Source organism: Homo sapiens, chromosome 1 (assembly GCF_000001405.40).
Source record: "Homo sapiens chromosome 1, GRCh38.p14 Primary Assembly".
Lineage (NCBI taxonomy): Eukaryota > Metazoa > Chordata > Mammalia > Primates > Hominidae > Homo > Homo sapiens.
In genome coordinates, this window is record NC_000001.11 from 95,190,928 (window position 1) to 95,211,446 (window position 20,519).

The window sequence follows — 20,519 nt, forward strand, 5'->3', positions numbered from 1 at the left end:
GTCTTTTCTTTAACAGTGTCTTTCGCAGAGCAAGTTTTAATTTTAACGAAGTCCAACTTAACTAACTTTTTCTTCCATGGATGACACTTTTGGTGTTGTATCTAAAATAGCACCACCAGATGCAAGATCATACAGGTTTTTTTCCTTTTTTCTTATGGAAGTTTTATAGTTTTGCATTTTACATTTAGGTCTATGATCCATTTTGAGTTAATTTTTGTGTAAGGTGTGAGATCTCTGCTTAACTTCATTTTTCTCGATGTTGATATACAATTTTGCACACCTTGTTGAAAAGACTTTTTTTCTCCACTGAATTACCTTTATGCTTTTGTCACAAATCAGTTGAGTATATTTGTGTGGGTCTATTTCTGAGCTCTCTTTTCTCTTCCATTGGTTTATTGATCTTTCACTAACACCATGCTGACTTGATTACTGTCGCTTTATAGTTAAGTCTTGGAAATGGGTAGTGTGAGTCCTCCAACTTTGTTCTTTTTCAGCATTGCGTATGCTATTCTAGGCCCTTTGCTCCTCCTTCACTGAATTTTAAAATTTAAAAACTAAAATAAAAATGGTTAATCCTCAGAGATGCACTATAAATGTGATGTTTCTTTAATTCATTTTTCAGGTGGTTCTTTGAAGCTCTGAAGTATCCCAAGTTTTCTAAAGCTATCGTTATCAATGGAATACTCATGACAGTAGTATTCTTCATCGTGCGGATTGCCTCAATGCTTCCTCATTATGGCTTCATGTATTCCGTGTATGGAACAGAACCCTACATAAGGCTTGGAGTTTTAATCCAGTTATCCTGGGTCATTAGTTGTGTTGTTTTGGATGTGATGAATGTCATGTGGATGATCAAAATTTCAAAAGGTTGCATCAAAGTCATCTCTCACATCAGACAAGAGAAAGCCAAAAATAGTCTTCAGAATGGAAAACTTGATTAAAAGAGTGCTACCGATAAGCAAACTTCATTACTACCCAGCATATCTGCTGATAGGATGAATTCTTGGCATGTTCTTGTGTACCTTTCTTAATTATAATTGTTATTCAGGATTTCAGTGTCATTTTTTTTAAACCTTAGAAAAGAGAAGGCCGGGCACGGTGGCTCATGCCTGTAATCCCAGCACTTTGGGAGGCCAAGGTGGGTCGATCACTGAGGTCAGGAGTTCGAGACTAGCTTGGCCAACATGGTGAAACCTCATCTCTACTAAAAATACAAAAAAAAGTAGCTGGGCGTGGTGGTTGGCGCCTGTAATCCCAGCTACTCGGGAGGCTGAGGCAGGAGAATCGCTTGAACCCGAGAGACGGAGGTTGCAGTGAGCTGATATTGTGCCACTGCACTCCAGCCTGGGCGACAGAGCAAGACTCTGTCTCAAAAAAAAAAAAAAGAGAGAAACTAAAATTAAAATTTAGTTTTCATCCCAAGATGTCTTTTCTGCCTTTCTTTTGCCTTATTTACAAGCATGGATAAAAATCTTAAAGGTTTAAATAAAAATGATCAATATAATGGTGAATCTTTTGAGAAATCTCTTAACTGCATTGGTATTTTTTCTCTGTGAAAGATGACTATGATAATCTGGTACAAATGGTTTTATGTCACCAATTTTGCTGCAAGAATGGGAACTGCTTTTAAATCTGTAAATAGCTCTTAACATTTGTTGTATGCACTCTTTTCTTACTATGGCTGTCAACACTTGTGTAGGGTTTAATTTCTAAATTGTTGGCATGTTCTTTTTCTCAGGCTATTCAGAAGTAACAACATTTTTCATTTCAGACATGCAATCACCTATTAATGATGAAATATTTTACCACTTTGGGAATATTTAATTAGTTTAGTCATGGAGAATACTTCCCACATTTTAAGATTTTTTCAAATATCACTGTCATTTCTATTTTAGCATTTTATCAAATTATTGCTTTTTTATTTTATAATAAGGCTTAAGACAGATTATAGACCTCCTTAAGAGATGAGTTTCTTCTTCTAAAAATGCATGTTGATAGAGGACTATTTAGGCTAATCGGAGGAATCATTAAGAAAGAAAGTTTTAACACTGTTTATCCCTATCTGCTTTCCTTGCACTTTTTCTGTGAAAAATATTTTCTGTTTGCAAAATCTTCCCTGAGTTCTGAACCCAGCACCATCAGTACCAAAGTCTTATGCAATATGTATTTATTATGCTCCTGAAATAGGCCTCTTCTTGATGAGACCCAAACTATTACAAAAATATCAGTATTCATATTTTACTCACAATTCATACCCGTGCTTACTTAGTTGGCATTTTAGTGCTTTGAATTTCTATCTTAAAGCACAGAAAAAAAAAGGTAATTTAATCCAAGTATTCTATCATCAAAATTATTGTCTGATTATATGAAGATAAATGACTGGCGACTCTGGTTGTGTGTGTATGTGTTTTGCTTTTACTTTAATTCTTGCAATCCAAATATAGAATTATATATTTATCTATTATTGCCTTTATTCTTTAAGCACTTGAGTTTAATGATTATTCTTACCTGAGAAAGGAAGAAATTTAATTCTACCAGTGATGAATACTTGAAATTAATTGAACTCATACCAAAAGATGTAATCCAGTTTCTCAGTTTGAAGGAGAACGTTTGACTCACTTTCATTGTTCATGCTAGCTGAATATAATCAAGACTTTTGATTTGATTTGCTTTTATTATTCAATGCAGATAGAGCCTGATAAGTTTTAGAACATTTAAAGAAGATTGAAATCTCAGTCAGTAACTAAATGATAAAATGAGATTGATTGGCTTATACTAGGTACATTTATTTTTGAAAGAATTAATGTAAAATAATAGTTATTTTTAAAGCAGCTAATATTACACTGATAATTTGTTGCTAAATTTAGTGCTGTCCACATCATAGGTGCTTAAATATGTACTGGTTAACTAGAGGGGGGTAGGAAAGCAAGCGGTTTTATCTTGTTCTTACCTTTTTGCAGGAAAAGTGGCTTTAAAAAAATTTATATAATAAAACTATTTTGGAAATTCATTCTTTTAGAAAGAGACCTTGAGATAAATATTTTTTGACTCTGGATATTTCTATAGTTCTGAACACAGATTTTAAACCCACTATCAAAATGAAAACAATATAAAGCTATATTAGTGAGTCTCCATGTAGCAGTTTGTTTTTATAGTTACTGTTTCATGCTTAAAACTTCATTCTTACTTTCATTAATGTTACCCTTCACTGGTATAGCCACTCACTAAATAAGTATATTTAAAACATCAAAATTTTGAACTAAAGTTTGTGATTCTCTTATTCAGCAATCCTTATCTTATGCTGGCTGCATGAGTTAATTCAACATCCAGATTAAATATCCTGAAGTAGGTTCTATATATTTCCTCATACAACAGACATGGAATGGAAATGCCACTAGAAACTGCCCTGCTACTTTTAAGTCTGACCTTTGCAGGAGGTACACTTTGCTGTTCTATGATTGTATTCACCTACCTAAAATACAAATGAAGACAGAACATATCATTTACTGCACGATGAATTTTTCATTTATTAAATGAAAAACGTTTGCTAGACATTTTAAATATTAAGTATTTTGACTACACGGATTAATTTAAATGATTCTATCAGGCATTCTGATATTTAACAACTCTATTAAAATATTTATAGAAAAATAAAAGCAAATTGATATAAATTTTTGAGCAATTCTATTTTTGTAGAAAAAAGATAACCTGTAATTATAAAGATGTTTTTTGAATGTGTAGTATCCTAGAAAATAAAAGTTCTTGTGAAACTTAAAAAATGAATGAAAACCAACTAATAGCATGCAAGATCATAGATCCTGCATTAAATTTTTATTTGTGAAAATTTGAAAATTATGAGCTATAACTTATAAAGTTTGCCTTCTTATGTCTAAAATCTTTTAAAGGATTATTTGCATTTATGTAAAACTGGAAATGAAGTTATATATGAGTGCAAAGAAATTGACTTCTGCTCAAATATGTGTTGATACCCTACAGTAAATTGAATTAAATTTTTATCCCAACTGTTTGATTTTATTATTTCATGGACTAGCCTTACGTTAAGTGAAATACTATTTATGTTGTTACCACCCCTAAGAGTGACTCTGATATATTATGGATGACCCAGGACGGTCTTAAAGGTCTAGTTTTAAAAACTGCCTAGTTTGTAAGTATTTGAATCCAGTTCTTTTCTAAATTTTAATAATTTGACTCAAAATTTTTGCTACAGGGTCAACTTTTAAATTGTATATTTCCTCTGAGGCACACTGGGCATTTGGAGAATGGTTCTTCACTGGTGTAGAGAGCCAGGTTTACTGTTGGTTGCACCATCTGTTATCAGGCATGCAGAAACATTTTTCTTCTGGAGAAACAGAGGGGAAGGTGTTGTTACAGTGTACATGTTTCCTCTGTGTCGTTTTTAAGGGAAATAAACATGTTCCAAAAGATGCTGTTAAAATAAATATTTGAACACGTTTTCTGTTTCTAGGTTGCTCTTAATTCCAAACATTTAAATAAATGTGCATTTGAATAGCTTTAGGTGGTTTAGTCTATTAGCTGAAATGGAAAAGTTCATGTATTGACATCATCAATAATACTTCATAAAGGTTTATGTATTTTTATGTGTTTGGATTCCATAAGAAGTTGAACTTAGATAATTTTATCAAGAGTAGCACAGTGTTTCTCAGGTGCGAGCCAGCATACAGCGAGACCCTTCATGTGTCTCTGGATGCACATATATCTTCCCAACCTTAAACACAGCTCATTGAAATACATTAAAGCTACTGAAAGTGAGTTCTGATGCAAAACACATGTGAGGTGTGTAGGAACAATGAAAAGCTAGAGGATCTGGAGTTAGAGGAGGCATTGAGAGTGCTTTTCCCTTAAACGCCGTGATAGTCCTCCCTTGATCTAGAAGTATTCTCTTTGAATCCTTCCATCTCTTCCTCCTGGTACACCAGATGACTTCATCAGCATCTCCCTCTTTTATGCTAACACCTTTCGCTGTCAACTTTTGAGACCTCCCCATGTATCTATAAGCTTCCCAGTCTCTTATGGCAAATTTAAAAGTTTACAAATAGGTTCTCTCATTGAAAAAAAGCATTGTAGTAAAGTTTAAAGTGGAGCTCAGACAAATCATGACTTATTAAGAGACTACAGGAAGCCATTCAGCATTTAATAATAACTGTTTACAACATGAGGCAAAGCTAATAATGTTATGGTTTTATTAAGAGATCTGTCATCTCTGTTTTTCTTAAACTGGTTTAACAGTCAGAGCTTTGTAATGTGTTTCAGCTGAAGATTTATTATAGGCTTGTAAATTATCTAAATGTTCTTTTTAGACCCCATGACAGGAGCACAGAGGAACTGAGATAACTCTGTGTTATGAGAGGGTGGATGCTGGCTTGTGCCAAAATTATTTTAGAGTCCTGCTCTTTAGGGAAAACTTTGCTATGGTAATGTTTCTTTGAAAACAAATTTACCAGCAACTGCGTTACTTGGTGTTTTCCAAAGTACAACATCCAAGGCTTGAACCTTACCCGTTTCTAGGCCAGACTAGGCCAGCCTCTAGTTTTGATAATAATTCATACCTTTATTGGAATATATTTTGGATAGCAGTGAAGAATTGAAAGCAGCTCCTAAAGATTGGTTTGTTTGCTTTGAAAATGTTTACACTTATTCACTCTAAGCAGTGGACCATTTTGATATCAGGCCCTATACATAAGACCAAAACCAGAAATATTTCTAAATCTCAAAGATTTATAAGTACAGTACCTCTGGCTGAAAACTCGTTAAACATCTTTGGATATTTTTTCTTTATATCTTTATGTAATTATTTCTGTAATTAAGTGTACATTAGGGTTATTTGCTACTTAACAAGCCTAAAGGTATAGCTGTATATAGAATGTGCTCTGTGTTTTTCTGTTTCCTGCTTGGTTTGTTTCTGGTATGACTATGTCTACTTTTTATTTAAGGAATTTTGTGTAGATAATACTCTCACTAACTTGTAAATAGGATAAGTTATGAGATTTTTTGGTATTAGAATTTGTAATAATAATGACTTTTAGATTTTATTTGAAAAAGCTACTTGGAAAGCAGTAAATAGAACTATAGTGATATATATAGATACATAGATATATACTTTTTTCTGAGAATGTATAATATATAATTGTCAAAGATTTTTGGAAGTCTTTCAAAATATACTTAATACCATTTTGAGAACATACCTTCTAATTTATTTCCATAAGGCTGAAGAACTTTTATTTACAAAATGTAAGACTAGATAATGTATGAATCAGTGTTACTAGGACTTATCAGTACTTAAAATAGCAACTTGGCATTCTTTATTTTGTTTCCTGGTTGTTTTATTTGGAGGGATAATAAATGTCTAAGTTATTTCCATTAAAATTTTGAAATGTTTGTATACTTTATGTGTGCCATTTTAAAGTATATGCAAGTTCTAAGCAATAATCTGCATGTTATACAAGGTTGACATATTTTGTCCTGAAATTTTTAGTTAACATTTCAAGAATGATAAAATGAACACCCTGTAAATTACCCTTCTCCCCCTCCCCTCCATGAAAACCTTGGGATTTTCTTGTGCTAGAACACTACCACAATGTGGTGCAAAGCTTTGTATTTTGTGGAAAAAAACAATAAAATCACAATTATTTAGTGCAAAAGTTTGTCTGCAAGGTGTATACTTTAATAGTAATTAATGAATAGATTAATGATAAAATTATGTTCTGCAAATCAAATAATCTCTTCTAGCACCTTAATCCTAAAGGTAAATTTTTATTCCTCAGGATGCTTGTAGAGCTTGCTTATTTCCTTCCCTCCCTTTCTCCCCACTGAGGTCACAGCTTGGTAGCAAACCAGCAGGAGTTGCAACCATTTTAGTCATGCTTGTTAATGAAAGGAATGGTGCTGTCTAATCGATTTGTTCTTTTAGATTAAGTAAAACTTTGGCAGTTGTGTTTTTAATCTCCTTGCCTTTGTCCCTAGGCCTCTTATGTGGTCTCTAGTGCTTTTTGCTGAATGTCTTGGCTGGAATTCCTACCTTCTCAAATTGCCTGTGGTCTTAAATCCTGCATCTTGGTCTGAGAATATCCAGTAGGTCAGGAAGCAGAGCACTAATTGAATACTGAAGAGGTTTGCCTATGGAGAGTACCATGAGTCATGCTTCAGAACATGCCTAAAATGTTGTGTCCAGACTGGCAAAGGAACAGCTGAATTTCAGAATGAAAATAGCAGTCACAGCTGTCAGTGGAGATAGGCCACAGGTGATATTACAAGTATTCAGAGCTACTTGAAGCAAGTGTAAATGGGGTCTCTGCCACACCTCAGGCTGTTTCAGACATGATCCATGTTTTGTTCTTCTATCTAGTCTTTTTCTAAAAGTCTGCTTACTGCTTTCGTTCCCTTTTGATGGTCCTTCAGCATGCATAAAATAAGTGATTTGACAAATTTGTAACTGTTCCCTATGCTAGTAACTGGTCTTCTGACAGACGTTCCTAGATGCCTCCCCCCCAAAAAATTGGACTCTTCATCTAAGGGTGGTGCACACCACCCTCTGCTTGAGTAGCTGTGCCCATTGTCATTTTTGGCACAGTGCTCCTAGATCCTCCCTGCCATTGCTGCCTAGTCCCTTTCTCTTTTCATCTACCTCCAGCTAAATTCAATTACCATATCTAGTCTTGTCATCTTACCAGATCATGGATTATACCAGCAGAAATTACCTGTGGAGAACTTTTGAAAGGGACTTGTACAGAAAAGGAAAGGCAATAGGGATGATAGGCTGGATGATTGGCTGTATTTCTGTTGAGGATAAAAGATGGAAAGGTGGATATTTGGAAAGAATGACACCAAGGAAAGAGGAAGGGACTTCAGAGAACAGAAAAAATAAGAAAATGTTATGTATATATACATTGCATTTTGGGTGACAGGAACCTATCAGGGAAAAAATGAATATAGTAAAATTCCTATACATGGTATCAAGAGTATAAGAAGTTACAACTTTTCTCAGAACCAGGTATGGTAGCCCTGTTACTTGGGGAGGCTGAGGTGGGAGGACAACTTGAGCCCAGGAGTTTCAGTTCAGCCTGAGCTACATAGCAAGACCCTGTCTCTAAGGAAAAAAAAAAAAAGTTTTGTGACTTTTCTGTGTTGAATACGTACATATTCATTATATATGCTTCTCTATATGTATGTAGGTGGGTGTATATACATGTATAAAGTACACTGTTGTGGACAGAAAGGATGTATGAATGGATGAGGCACAAGAGGGTAGAATTTTGTTTGAATTGTCAATTAGAGCAATTTGGAAAGAGTGAGGTGCCTAAAATCCTACAGTAACCATGAAGAAGCATCTTAATCTGAGTCTTAGTTTTGTTATCTGTAAAATAATCTCTGATGTTCCTTCCAACTCTCCCATCCTATTAGTAAGAGCTTTAGTTTGAAACGAGGCAATCAGGAAGGAACAAGTGTAGCTTTGAAGGCTTAATAATATGATTTAAATGACATTCAAGGAAGATTCTCAGTGTCAAATTAGATGAATGAGAGTACAGAAGAGGTTTAGTGATGGAGAAACTGGCCAAGGACCTGCAATGTAGTTAAGTCTGATGGCTGGCATGGGACAAGGAAGATAAATAAAGGGTCTGACCTGATAAATATCAGAGAGAGAGGTAAAGGGATTTAGAAAAACAACCTAACTCAGGAAACTCAGGAATAAGGCTGTGGAATGGAGAGGGGACAGATGCCACTGGGTTGTGATGTCAGAATGTGGGGAGCTGCAGTCATTTGCCATGAATGATAAAAGAGAAGGCATAGTAATTGGAAGAGTGGTGGAGCCTGTGACAGACTTTTAACATAATGCCAGTGTTGTGCAGAGTTTCTCCCAGAGAGCATCTGGAAGAAAGAAAAAGCTCTGTCCAAGTACCACACTGTTGTGGTTTTCATGACTTTTCGGATTTCTGACACAATGTCTTGCCTTGACCCCTTGTATCTGGATATTTCAGGTTCCTGACTGGTCACTGACCCATGGTTTCCTCAACACCCTTTCAGGTTCCAATGAGCTGACCCCATGATTCATTGTTCCCCATAGGGTCAGCTCAGCCCTGTCAAGTCAAGGAGCTTGAGAAAGGTCTAGAGATGATAGTAAGAGGCCTAAAGAATAAGGCCCTTCTCTGAAGTCCACTAGCTAGAGGCTACTGTGGAGTGGGGAGACCCCAGCCTTGCAGTGGGATTGGTTCCCTGCGTGAGGTGGTCTTTGGATGGTGCAAGAAAGGGCAGAAGCTCAAAGGGTGGAGCAGAAGCAGCTGTGGATCCTGGAGCAGGGGTGGAGGCTGCAGGGACTGTCTTAGGCTCCCAGTTTCAGTTTATGAATTCAGAGGGGAAATGGAGAGGCACTTTGAAACATTCTCTCTTGGACAACCATGCCATTTTTTTGTTTGTTTTTGTTTTTTGAGTCAGGGTCTTACTCCGTCTCCCAGGCTGGAGTGCACTGGCGCAGTCTCAGCTCACTGCAATCTCCACTTCCTGGGTTCATGCGATTCTCCTGCCTCAGCCAACAAGTAGCTGGAACTACAGGTGCGTGCCACCGCACCCGGCTAATTTTTGTTATTTTTAGTAGAGATGGGGCTTCGCCATGTTGGCCAGTCTGGTCTCAAACTCCTGCCCTCAAGTGATCTGCTGACCTTGGCCTCCCAAAATGCTGGGATTACAGGCGTGAGCCACTGCGCCTGGCCCCATGCAGTCTTTTAATTGGTCTTCAACTCCACACTGTCACCTCCATCATACATGCTACCGATGGAATCATCATTTAGAATACATCTGAAATTTTTGTCACAGTCCTGCTCAAAACTTCCAGTACTCCACTCCCAAGTCTAAATTCCTTAAGCCAGATCTAAGGTTCTCGATGATAGCTATAGCCCTACCCTATCCAACCTCATGGTACCCCTGAAAGTTCTCCCAGAAGGGTGCCACTGCCGCCCCCATGCTCATCCAGCTCCAGGCACTTAAACGTTGGCTGTGATGTGGCCTAGAGGCCCTTTCTTTCTGATCTGCATTCTATTCATCCTCAAGACCATATAGTAAAGGAATTGGTTCTTATTTTTTTCACTAAAAATTAAACAAAAATGTTCAGATAAGAGTTGAGAGAAAAAAGCCTCATTAAATTATTTTAACATTTATTGAGTACTTACTTGTTAAATTGTCACATGAATTCCTGGAACAACCAGGATAAATAAACTCATTCTTGACTGGCAAGCTGGATCTCAGAACCTCCTGTCCTGTATAAGCGGGGCCACGGCCAAGCTGCTGTGTTTTCTCTTAGCTGAGAGGTCAAAGAAATTAGTTCCCCCCACCCCCATTGAATGGGGCAACTAGTGGGTGCAGAGCCCACTACAGGCTTTAGAACAGACTTTGATATTTTGAATAACACCATAGAAAGTCTTTTCATCTGGGACTCCAGAAACCTGGATTCCAGTTCTGGCCCTAATACCTTCTAGTAAGCATTTTAGGCAAGTGCTTTCACCTTACTGGCTTTTGTTTTTTGATCTGGAAAGTGAGGAGTTGAACTGGTTGAATTAAAGGCCACTTTTCTTTCAGATTCCATCATTCAGTAATTATGGGCTGGGCACGGTGGCTCATGCCTGTAATCCCAGCACTTTGGGAGGCTGAGGTGGGCAGATTGCCTGAGCTCAGGAGTTTGCGACCAGCCTGGGCAACAAGGTGGAAACCCTGTCTCTACTAAAACACAAGAAATTAGCCGGGTGTGGCAGTGTGTACTTGGAATCCCAGCTATTCGGGAGGCTGAGGCAGGAGAATTGCTTGAACCCGGGAGGCAGAGGTTGCAGTGAGCCGAGATCACACCACTGCATTCCAGCCTGGGCAACAGAGTGAGACTGCATCTCAAAAAACAACAACAACAAAGAAAACACGGTAATTAGAATCAAGGTTAGGGACATGTAGCCCAGGGTATGGTAGGGTATGAGCAAATTCCTATCAGACAGCAATTCCAGAATACTAGTTTCAAGTGTGTAAGTTTTTGGAGGTGGTCTAAATTTCAATTTTGATTGTGACTGTATGCTCTTGAATGAGGCCACTTGTTTATGACTCCATCTGCCTCACTTGTAAGAGGAGACAGTATCAGTTGCAATCAATGAACCTAGCCAAAAAGGCTAACTATAAATATTTGCTGAATGCTTCAACATTCTTAGGGGAAATAGATAAAGTTTTAATGATGTACTTTCCCACTGTACTTGCAGCCAAGTTGAATTTTGTCATATTCTTCCTAGTGTTAACATTTAAAAGATGTAAACATTTTCATCATAGTATCTAAATATAGAACTCATTTTGTTTCCCACAATTAAATATAATCATCAGAAAGGAAAATAGATGATTAACAGAAATGTAAATGGTAAGTTATTTAGTCCCCTCTCACCAAAACCAATCTGAATCCTCTATCTTGAGAAGCCAGTCCATCACTAATGGGTCATTTACCTTGATTGACTCAGTGTTAGGACTTGCTGTGAGATCAGGACTTTCTATAAGATTTCTGTGTTCTTTGTGACTCTATATGTACACTGCTGGGATTATTTGATGGGCTTTGTGGAGAGTCAAGGCCAGGATGAAATCAGATGGGGACATTATTATGACAATGTTTATTGTCTGTGACTTTGCTGGTATACTTGTTTCCTGCAACATTATTGATCTTTAGCTGATTGGTGATAATTATCTATAGTAGATCCATTCCTGATTTTTACAATTGACTCTCTGAGGTGGCAGTTCCCAACCTTTTTTGGCACCAGGGACCAATTTCATGGAAGACAATTTTTCCATGTGACAGGGTAGTAGGGAGGATGGTTTCAGGATGAAACTGTTCCACCTCAGATCATCAGGCATTAGTTAGATTCTCACAAGAAGCATGCAGCCTAGATCCCTCGCATGCGCAGTTCACAGTAGGGTTGGCGCTCCCATGAGAATCTAATGCCCTGCTGATCTGACAGGAGGCGGAGCTCAAGCGGTAATGCTCATTAGCCCACCGCTCATCTCCTGTTGTGTGGTCCAGTTCCTAACAGGCCACAAACTTGGCCTGGTGTTTGGGAACCCCTGTTCTAAGGCACCATATCATGAAGGAAAGTAAGACGTGTGCATGCTGTAGGGAAAAATGTAGATGATTCCTTAGCTTTGTAATAAGCAAAACTAAATACTAATTAGGATTTATATTCTAAAGAATGGAGTGAGAAAATAGATGTAATAGTACTGTAATTTTTTTCTTTAAAAATTACTACTCTAAATGAAAACATATGACTTTGAACCATTATTTTTCTTTTTCTTTTTCTTTTTTTTTTAAACGGAGTCTTACTCTGTCGCCCAGGCTGGAGTACAGTGGCATGATCTTGGCTCCCTGCAGCCTCTGCCTCCCAGTTTCAAGTGATTCTCCTGCCTCAGCCTCCCGAGTAACTGGGATTACAGGCGTCCACCACCATGCTCGACTAATTTTTGTATTTTTGGTAGAGACAGGGTTTCACCATGTTGGCCAGGCTGGTGTTGAACTCCTGACCTCAGGTGATCCACCTGCGTTGGCCTCCCAAAGTGCTGGGATTACAGGCATGAGCAACCGCACCTGGCTGAACCATTATTTTTTAAAAAAGGAATCTAAGCTGTTTATTTAAAAAGTAAAGCCAGAAGTCTACATTCTATTGTCTACCCCTTTCATGACTTTCTAGCCATTAGCTTCAACTCCTAAATATCCTTACCCTAGATCAAACCAAATGTTTACATTTTCTATGCTTAACCCAGGTAACAGAGACCTGCTGGAACATTATTCAACTCTGTGTATTGGGGCCACCACAAATTCAAGATCTCATTCACTTAAAAAAAAAATTAACACTCTAGGCACCATGCAAGGGAAAGGGAATAAACGGTGAACAAAACTGTCAGGGTCTTTGCCCACAGGGAGCTTAGAGTCTGGAAGGGAATAGAGGTTGCAATTAACTGAATGTTTGTATCCCCCCCAAATTCATATATTGAAATTCTAACCTTCAAGGTAATGATATTAAGAGGCAGGGCTTTGGGGAGGTGATTAGGTCAGGAGGATGGAGTGCTCATGAATGGGATTAGTGCCCTTAGAGACCTTAGAGAGATCCCTGACCCCTCTGCCCTGTGAGGTTACAGTGAGAAGACAGCTGTCTGTGAACCAGGAAGTGAGTCCTCAGACAACAGATTGGCTGGAGGTTTGATGTTGGACTTGTCAACCTCCAGAACTGCAAAAAATTTCTGTTACTTATTTCTATAATTTATGAGCACCCACTTGATGACAGTTTGTGATAGCAGCCCAAACGGACTAAGACAGAGATAAGGAACAAGGGAAAGCAAATCAAGTGATTCTGTGTAGAGTGTGTCTTTCATCTTCAACTCCTAAGTCTGGCATAGTGTTTCACATTTAGTAAGTGACCAGTCAGGAAGTCAATAAAAAAAATTGATACAATAATAAAAAAGAAAAAGTAAATATTTATTCAGTATGCATTATGTACCAGGCTTTATTTTAGGCTCTGAATATTTATCAGTGAAGGAGGCAGACAAGGAAGACTTAGCTCTCTTAGAACTTAAATATTCTAGCAAAGAGAGATGGGCAGTAAAGAAGTCTGAAAAAAGAAATAAACATAATACAATTCCAGATAATAAGAAGTAACATGAAATAAATAGAAGAAAATGGAAATTGGGGACAGTTTAAACAGGTCACTTTGTGGAGATGGCACTTGTGCTAAGACCAGGCAGGAGGCATCTGCAAGTATTGTGAAGAACAATCTGTGCAGAGGAAATAGCAAGTACAGAGTCCTGGAGGTGGGGAGACTGGTGTGTTCAGTGAAAAGGAGGCAGTGTGACTGGAGCATGAGGGAGGAGGATGAGAGATGAAGATGTGGTCGGAGAGGAAGGAGGCATAAGATTATGCTGGGTCGTTAGGCCATTGTAAAGTGTTTGGCTTCTTACTGTGCCAAGAATAAGCATTCCGGGTTTTAAGCAGTCCAAGTGAGAAATGATGTGGACCTAAATCTAGGGTTTCAAACATTTTGTTCCACAATCCACAGGAGGAAACATATTTTGTGTGGTGACTCCACACATAAACACAGATACATAAGCAAAATTTAATGAGACAATACCCTTACCGTGAATGACGCCCTCTGAATTTTTCTGTTCTCTTTCACTGTAAAAGAAGAAATGCCGGTTGTCACCCACAAAACTGATTTGATAACTCAGCAATGAGTGGCAATTTACAGTTTGTAAAACATTGGTTCAAACTGAAGTGGTGACAGTGGAGATGAAGAGAAATGGATGGATTCAGGATATATTTTACAGGTAGAGTTGACAGTAGTTGTTGATGGACTGCTTACAGGAAAGTGAGGGAAAAGCCTCGATAAATGATTTTGTATGATTTTGGCTTGAACAAATGGGAGAATGGTGGTCCTAAGATAGGGAAAACTAAAGAAGAAGCAGGTTTGAAGGAGAGATGGAGGAGAAATCAAGAAATCTTTTCTAAACACTTTTTTAAAATCTGATTATATATGTTATTCATACAGATTTGTAATATTAATTGCTCAAATTATAAGCCAACTATAAAAAAATCTTTTTATATAGACTCTTAAATATATCTTAAATGTTATTTGTATTTTCATCAAAGAGATACAACTTGCCTACTGAAATAAAAGAGAAAGAAATGTGATCCGTGGTCTTGCCACACAAATATGACAATGCTTAGTTGTTTAATGTCTTCTTAATGTAACCTTTTCTATGCATAATTCTTTAATCACTACCTAAGCATTTATAAAGGTAATTCATTAGGACTGGGATCATATAAACACTGTCCTAGTCTGTTTGTTTGGACTTCTATAACAAAATACCTTCTACTGAGTAGTTTATAAACCACAGAAATTTACTTATCCAGTTCTGGAGGTTGGGAAGTCCAAGATTAGGGCCTGGCAGATTCACTGTCTGGTGAAGACCTGCTTCCAGGTTTCACATCCTGGTTTATTGACGATGTCTTCTTGTTGCATCCTCATATGGCAGAAGGGTTGAATGAGCCTCCTTGGGCCCATTTTATAAGAGCAGTAATCTTATTCATGAGGTCTTCTCTCTCATCACTTCCCAAAGGCCCTATTTCTTAATCCCATCCTACCAACCTTGTGGGGTAGGATTTCAACATAGGAATTTTTGTTGGGGACACTGACATTCAGACCATAGCAAGCAGTTTAGAGATGATCAGTGGATCTGGAGACAGTGACATTCATAATCATTGATGCTTAATAGGTAGCTTAATTTTTTAAATAATAAAGTGGTTTTAACGGGGAACCAAATAATTTAATGTTTTTCAAACTTTAAAAATCCATGCAAATTATAACATCAAAATTTTCAACCAGTTTTGGATATGTGCCCATACTTGTACATATGAACACCATCACACTCCTTCAACATCCATCCTTATCCCCACTGAGAATCATGAATACATTTTTTTTTCATTTTTCAAATATATAAAAAATGATGAAATATGCCTGTCCAAACTACATGTCCCCTTTCTGGTCCCTTTCACGCCTCTTCTGATTCATCTTTTTACAATCTACTCCATGATCTCATTCCTTGATGACCAGTGATTTCATCAAGCCCAGTTGGCCTTTACCTTTACATACAGCGAAGCTTATTTCACAGTTCTGAGAAGAGTGTTAGAGACTGTGTCTGTACCAATCTGAAACCCACATCAACAGTTTCTTTTTATATTTCAATGCTTATTGGGCACTTTGTATGAAGTATTGTTGTAGGTTCTATGTAAACAAATATGAGGGAGAACATGAGGCCTGCCCTCAAGGAGTTTATAATCTAGACTTGTTGCCAAGCAACTTTAAAAAGATAACCTTTTTATTTTAGAGCAGTTTTAAAGTTACAGAAAAACTGTGAAGCTAGTACAGAGTGCCAGTATACCCCGTATACCCTCAGTTTCTCCTTTGGTTAACATCTTAGGTTTGTTTGGTGTATAACATTATAGTCAGTTTAAATCATACAGCTTACAGAATTTTGAATTCTGACCTTTTCACTTTACAATGTATCATAAGCATTGTTTCCATTTAAAATGAATATTAATGCTGGCCAGATACTCTAGATATTACCTTTGCCAGCCACCTCATTTTTCAGATGAGGAAACTGAAGCACAGAGAGCTCTTAAGTGTTTTGGTTAAAATCAGAATATGGAATAAAACTGTACTTGCAGGCAGCTGTCCCAGGTCCCTGAATGTCATATGCTGCTGCTTCTCATTTACCAGGGAGAAGATGTGAGGATATAGGGACTGCTACCTCTCCACTCAACCAACCAACATTTACTGGGTACACACTGAGGATCAGTGATTGTGCTGGTGGTGGTGGGGAAACAGCACAGAGCCTGGCCAGTCCCTCTCCTCAAGGAGCTTACATTGTAAATGTCTGGGAGTTGAGATCACAGAATAAAAGGACATTGAGTTACCGTTTTACTTTGGTGAGGTGTCAAGGACAGAGTGTACTGGGGAATGGGAGCGGAATAATTTCAGAGGGTTGGAGTGCTGGGCTGAATAATGGCCCAAAGATGTCCATGTCCTAATCCCTAGAATCCGTGGATATGTTACTTTACATGGCAAAAAGGACCTTGAAGATGTGATTGAGGATCTTCTTGATCTTGGACTATCGAGGCTGGCCCAGTGTAATCACAAGAGTCCTTATAAGGGAAAGAGGGAGGCAGGAGAGTCAGAAGAGATGTGACTGGAGATGCAGCTGGCAGTGTGATGGGATTGTTGGCTGGAGGCCAGGCCAGGGAACAAGAAATGTGGGCAGCCTCTACAACCTGGGAAAGGCAAGACACATATTCTCTGCGAGAGCTTCGAGAAGGAATGCAGCCCTGCCAATGCTTTGATTTTGGTCTGTAAGACCTATTCTGGACCTCAGACCTCCAGAATGATGAGAGAACAAATTTGTGTTGTTTGAAGCCACTAAATTTGTGGTAATTTGTTACAGCAGAAATAGGAAACTAGTGAGCTGGCTCTGTAGAGACTAGTTTTTATGAAAAGAAAGACATGCTATTTAGATATTGTAGTACAGAATGTTAGATTTAAAGGTTCATCTCTGCTCTAATCCAATAGCTTCATTTTTTTAGTTGAAATTAATGATGAAAAAAGTATCTGCCAAACTTTTTCTTATTTAAACTGATTAGATTACTTTTGTTTTGAAACTATATATGTAGCAGCATGATTCATGATAGCCCCAAACTGGAAACAGCCCAAATATCATCAATAATAGAGTAGAAAAAGAAATTGTTATATATTTCTTCAATATTACACAGCAACGAGAATGTATGAACTACAGTTACATGCAGTAATGTTGATGAATCGCTTGAACTCATGTCATTGTTGCTGGAAAGAAACTGGATACAAAAGAGTTAATACCCTATGATTCCATTTACATAAAGTTCCATTTACATACATAAAAATAGGCAAAACTAATCTACGATGTTAAAAGTTACCTTGGACAGGGGTGGGACTGAGTAAGGACTGGGAGAGGGCAGAATGGAGACCTTTGGGACACTGGCAATGTTGTATTTCTTGGTCTGTGCTGGATATATGGGTGAGTTCACTTTGTGAAAATTCATATTAATTGTACAAACTTGTGCATATTATATGGTAATAAAAAAGGTGGCTTAGAATAAAACTGTATGACTGTGTTTGATCTGAATGGTGGTTCTAACAATAGCTTGACCTAAAGAATATGAACTTTTAGAAGGAAAGCAATGAGCAGAATCCCCTGCTGGGTCCTTCCTGGATCCATTGCCCAAAAGGAGAGCCAACAATCCTCCGTGACTTTAGAATATTGAATATACAATTTTGTCCGAAATCCATTTGAAACACTTGCTTTATGTGTTGACTTATTAACCTCTCTGCCTCTGGGACACATTATTTTTCAAGCTGGTGTTTAAAAATATTATTTAATTGTGGGTAAGTAATCTAGGTTGGAAAGGAAGTCTTTCCAAGTTAAGGATAAATAACAGTTGCCTAGTGATGTTTCTGTGGAAGAACAAGGCTTTCTGGTGTGTTTGGAATTGTCTCTACTAAGGGCACTCTTTATTTTAAGCAGGCTTCAAGTGGAAAGCTAAGCGCAAAGCCTAACTAATGACGCCCTTCACACCAACTATTGTGGCAGGATAATTTGTACAAGGCGGATGAATTCATTTATAGAATGCTGAACAATTTATATATTAAAAAGTGTCTAGATTAAGTGATTTATATAATATGTATTTAAATAAAAATATTCAACAGTTTCAATGAAAAATAGAATTTTCTGTGACAAATATATTTTATAAGCTGTGCAGTCCTCACATCATTTTTGATTTCCTGAAAGTAAAAATGTGTAGATAATAGTTGAATAACTTGGAGAAATTCTTGTTCTTCAGCAAACATTAAGGAGAACTTCAATTAAATTTAAGTAAGTTCTCTACCCTTCCAGGCTTGTGCTCTTTGTTTACTGTGTTTTTGAGGCCACAAGCATGTGAGCACTACAAACATTAACTTATCTTTGCTAAGAAGGATAAGGGCCAACACAGTACTTAGAATTCCCAAAGTACTTATATCAACCAGATTATTTCCTCACAAGGTTCCTTATCACATATAATTCTGACCTCTAGTTTTTCTTTAAGCTTACCTAAGGCTGAAAAAGTTTTGAAGGATTCTTAAAAAGTTTTTTTACAACTTTAAGGGAGCTCAAATTATGAAGTTGGATATTAACTTGACACAGTTTGATTTTTGACAACTTCCTACCAAATAAAATGGATTAAAGTTAGTGCTCAGCTCTGGTAGAGAATATTAAAAACAGCAACAGTGATAACAAACAACAGAAACACCCTGAAAACATAAATAAAAGGAAAATAATATATAAACACTGCAGTGCTATCTGAGTAGCTAGTCAAGAGAAAATATGAATGCTCTTTAGGTCAAAGCTGACAGGATTTTTATATCAACTTAATTAAAGTAATAAAAAAGAATAATTTTATATGCTACTTTATCCATACTAGTACTTAGGTTACAAAATTGGGTGGGAGAAATTTTGGGACAATGATATATTAAAGAACAAATGAACAGAAAAGGAACATATCATGTACTACATAAAATTTTTAAAATTTAGTTTTAAAATATTTTCTTGTTTATGAAGTCTTAGACTGCTTATTAAAATCAGTATTTACTAAAATAATAATACTTAAAATACTTATTTACAACTGTAATGTAAGAGTTTTAAAAATAAGATTGCCTCCTTTCTTCTCTCCTTACTTGTCCTTTCTCTCCATCAGTGATTAAGGTGCAGTGACAGACTTCCAGTGCTTCTCAGTGTGCGTTGAGGATTTTATTCAATGTAGGTTCTCATTCAGTAGGTCTGTGGTTGATCCTGGAAATCTGTGTTTCTAATACACTGCCAGGGGATGCCAATGCTGTTGGACCTTGGACTAGGATTTGAATAGCAAGGATTGGAAATAAGATGTATTAGTCCATTCTCAAACTGCTATAAAGAACTACCTGAGACCAAGTAATTTATGAAGAAAAGAGGTTTGATTGACTCACAGTTCCACAGGCTGTACAGGAAGCATGGCTAGGAGGCCTCAGGTGACTTACAATCATGGCGGAAGGCAAAGGGGAAGCTGGCACATCTTACCATGGAGGATCAGGAGAGAGAGAGAGTGAGGGGCGAACTGCCACACACTTTTTTTTTTTTAAATTATACTTTAAGTTCTGGGGTACATGTGCACAACGTGCAGGTTTGTTACATAGGTATACATGTGCCATGTTGCTTTGCTGCACCCATCAACTTGTCGTTTACATTAGGTATTTCTCCCAATGCTATCCCTCCCCCAGCCCCCCACCCCTGACAGGCCCCAATGTGTGATGTTCCCCTCCCTGAGTCCATGTGTTCTCATTGTTCAACTCCCTCTTATGAGTGAGAACATGTGGTGTTTGGTTTTCTGTCCTGTGATAATTCGCTGAGAATGGTGGTTTCCAGCTTCATCCATGTCCCTGCAAAGGACATGAACTCATCCTTTTTTTAGGCTGCATAGTATTCCATGGTGTATATGTGCCACATTTTCTTAATCCAGTCTATTATTGATGGACATTTGGGTTGGTTCCAAGTCTTTGCTATTGTGAATAGTGCCGCAGTAAACATACGTGTGCATGTGTCTTTATAGCAGCATGATTTATAATCCTTTGGATATATACCCAGTAATGGGATTGCTGGGTCAAATGGCATTTCTAGTTCTAGATCCTTGAGGAATGACCACACTGTCTTCCACAATGGTTGAACTAATTTACACTCCCACCAATGTGTAAAAGTGTTCCTATTTCTCCACATCCTCTCCAGCACCTGTTGTTTCCTGACTTTTTAATGATCTCCATTCTAACTGGCATGAGATGATATCTCACTGTGGTTTTGATTTGCATTTCTCTAATGACCAGTGATGATGAGCA

General features: G+C 37.5%; 2 protein-coding genes and 1 long non-coding RNA gene across 5 annotated transcripts in view; 2 read left to right on the forward strand and 1 right to left on the reverse strand.

Moving 5' to 3' along the window:
• The window catches only part of TLCD4 (TLC domain containing 4), a 105,091-nt gene extending 98,411 nt beyond the window's left edge, over positions 1–6,680 (forward strand). For both annotated transcript variants that reach the window (NM_001199679.2, NM_152487.3), the window contains exon 7: positions 623–6,680. In NM_001199679.2, the coding sequence (NP_001186608.1) occupies positions 623–941 (319 nt within the window). In that variant the 3' untranslated portion in view covers positions 942–6,680. The remainder of the gene's footprint in view (positions 1–622) is intronic.
• The window catches only part of TLCD4-RWDD3 (TLCD4-RWDD3 readthrough), a 127,033-nt gene that overhangs the window by 73,005 nt on the left and 33,509 nt on the right, over positions 1–20,519 (forward strand).
• Positions 1–20,519, reverse strand: part of RWDD3-DT (RWDD3 divergent transcript) — a 70,764-nt gene that overhangs the window by 27,709 nt on the left and 22,536 nt on the right. For both annotated transcript variants that reach the window (NR_125949.1, NR_125948.1), the window contains exon 3: positions 14,169–14,206. This is a non-coding gene — a long non-coding RNA (RWDD3 divergent transcript). The remainder of the gene's footprint in view (positions 1–14,168; positions 14,207–20,519) is intronic.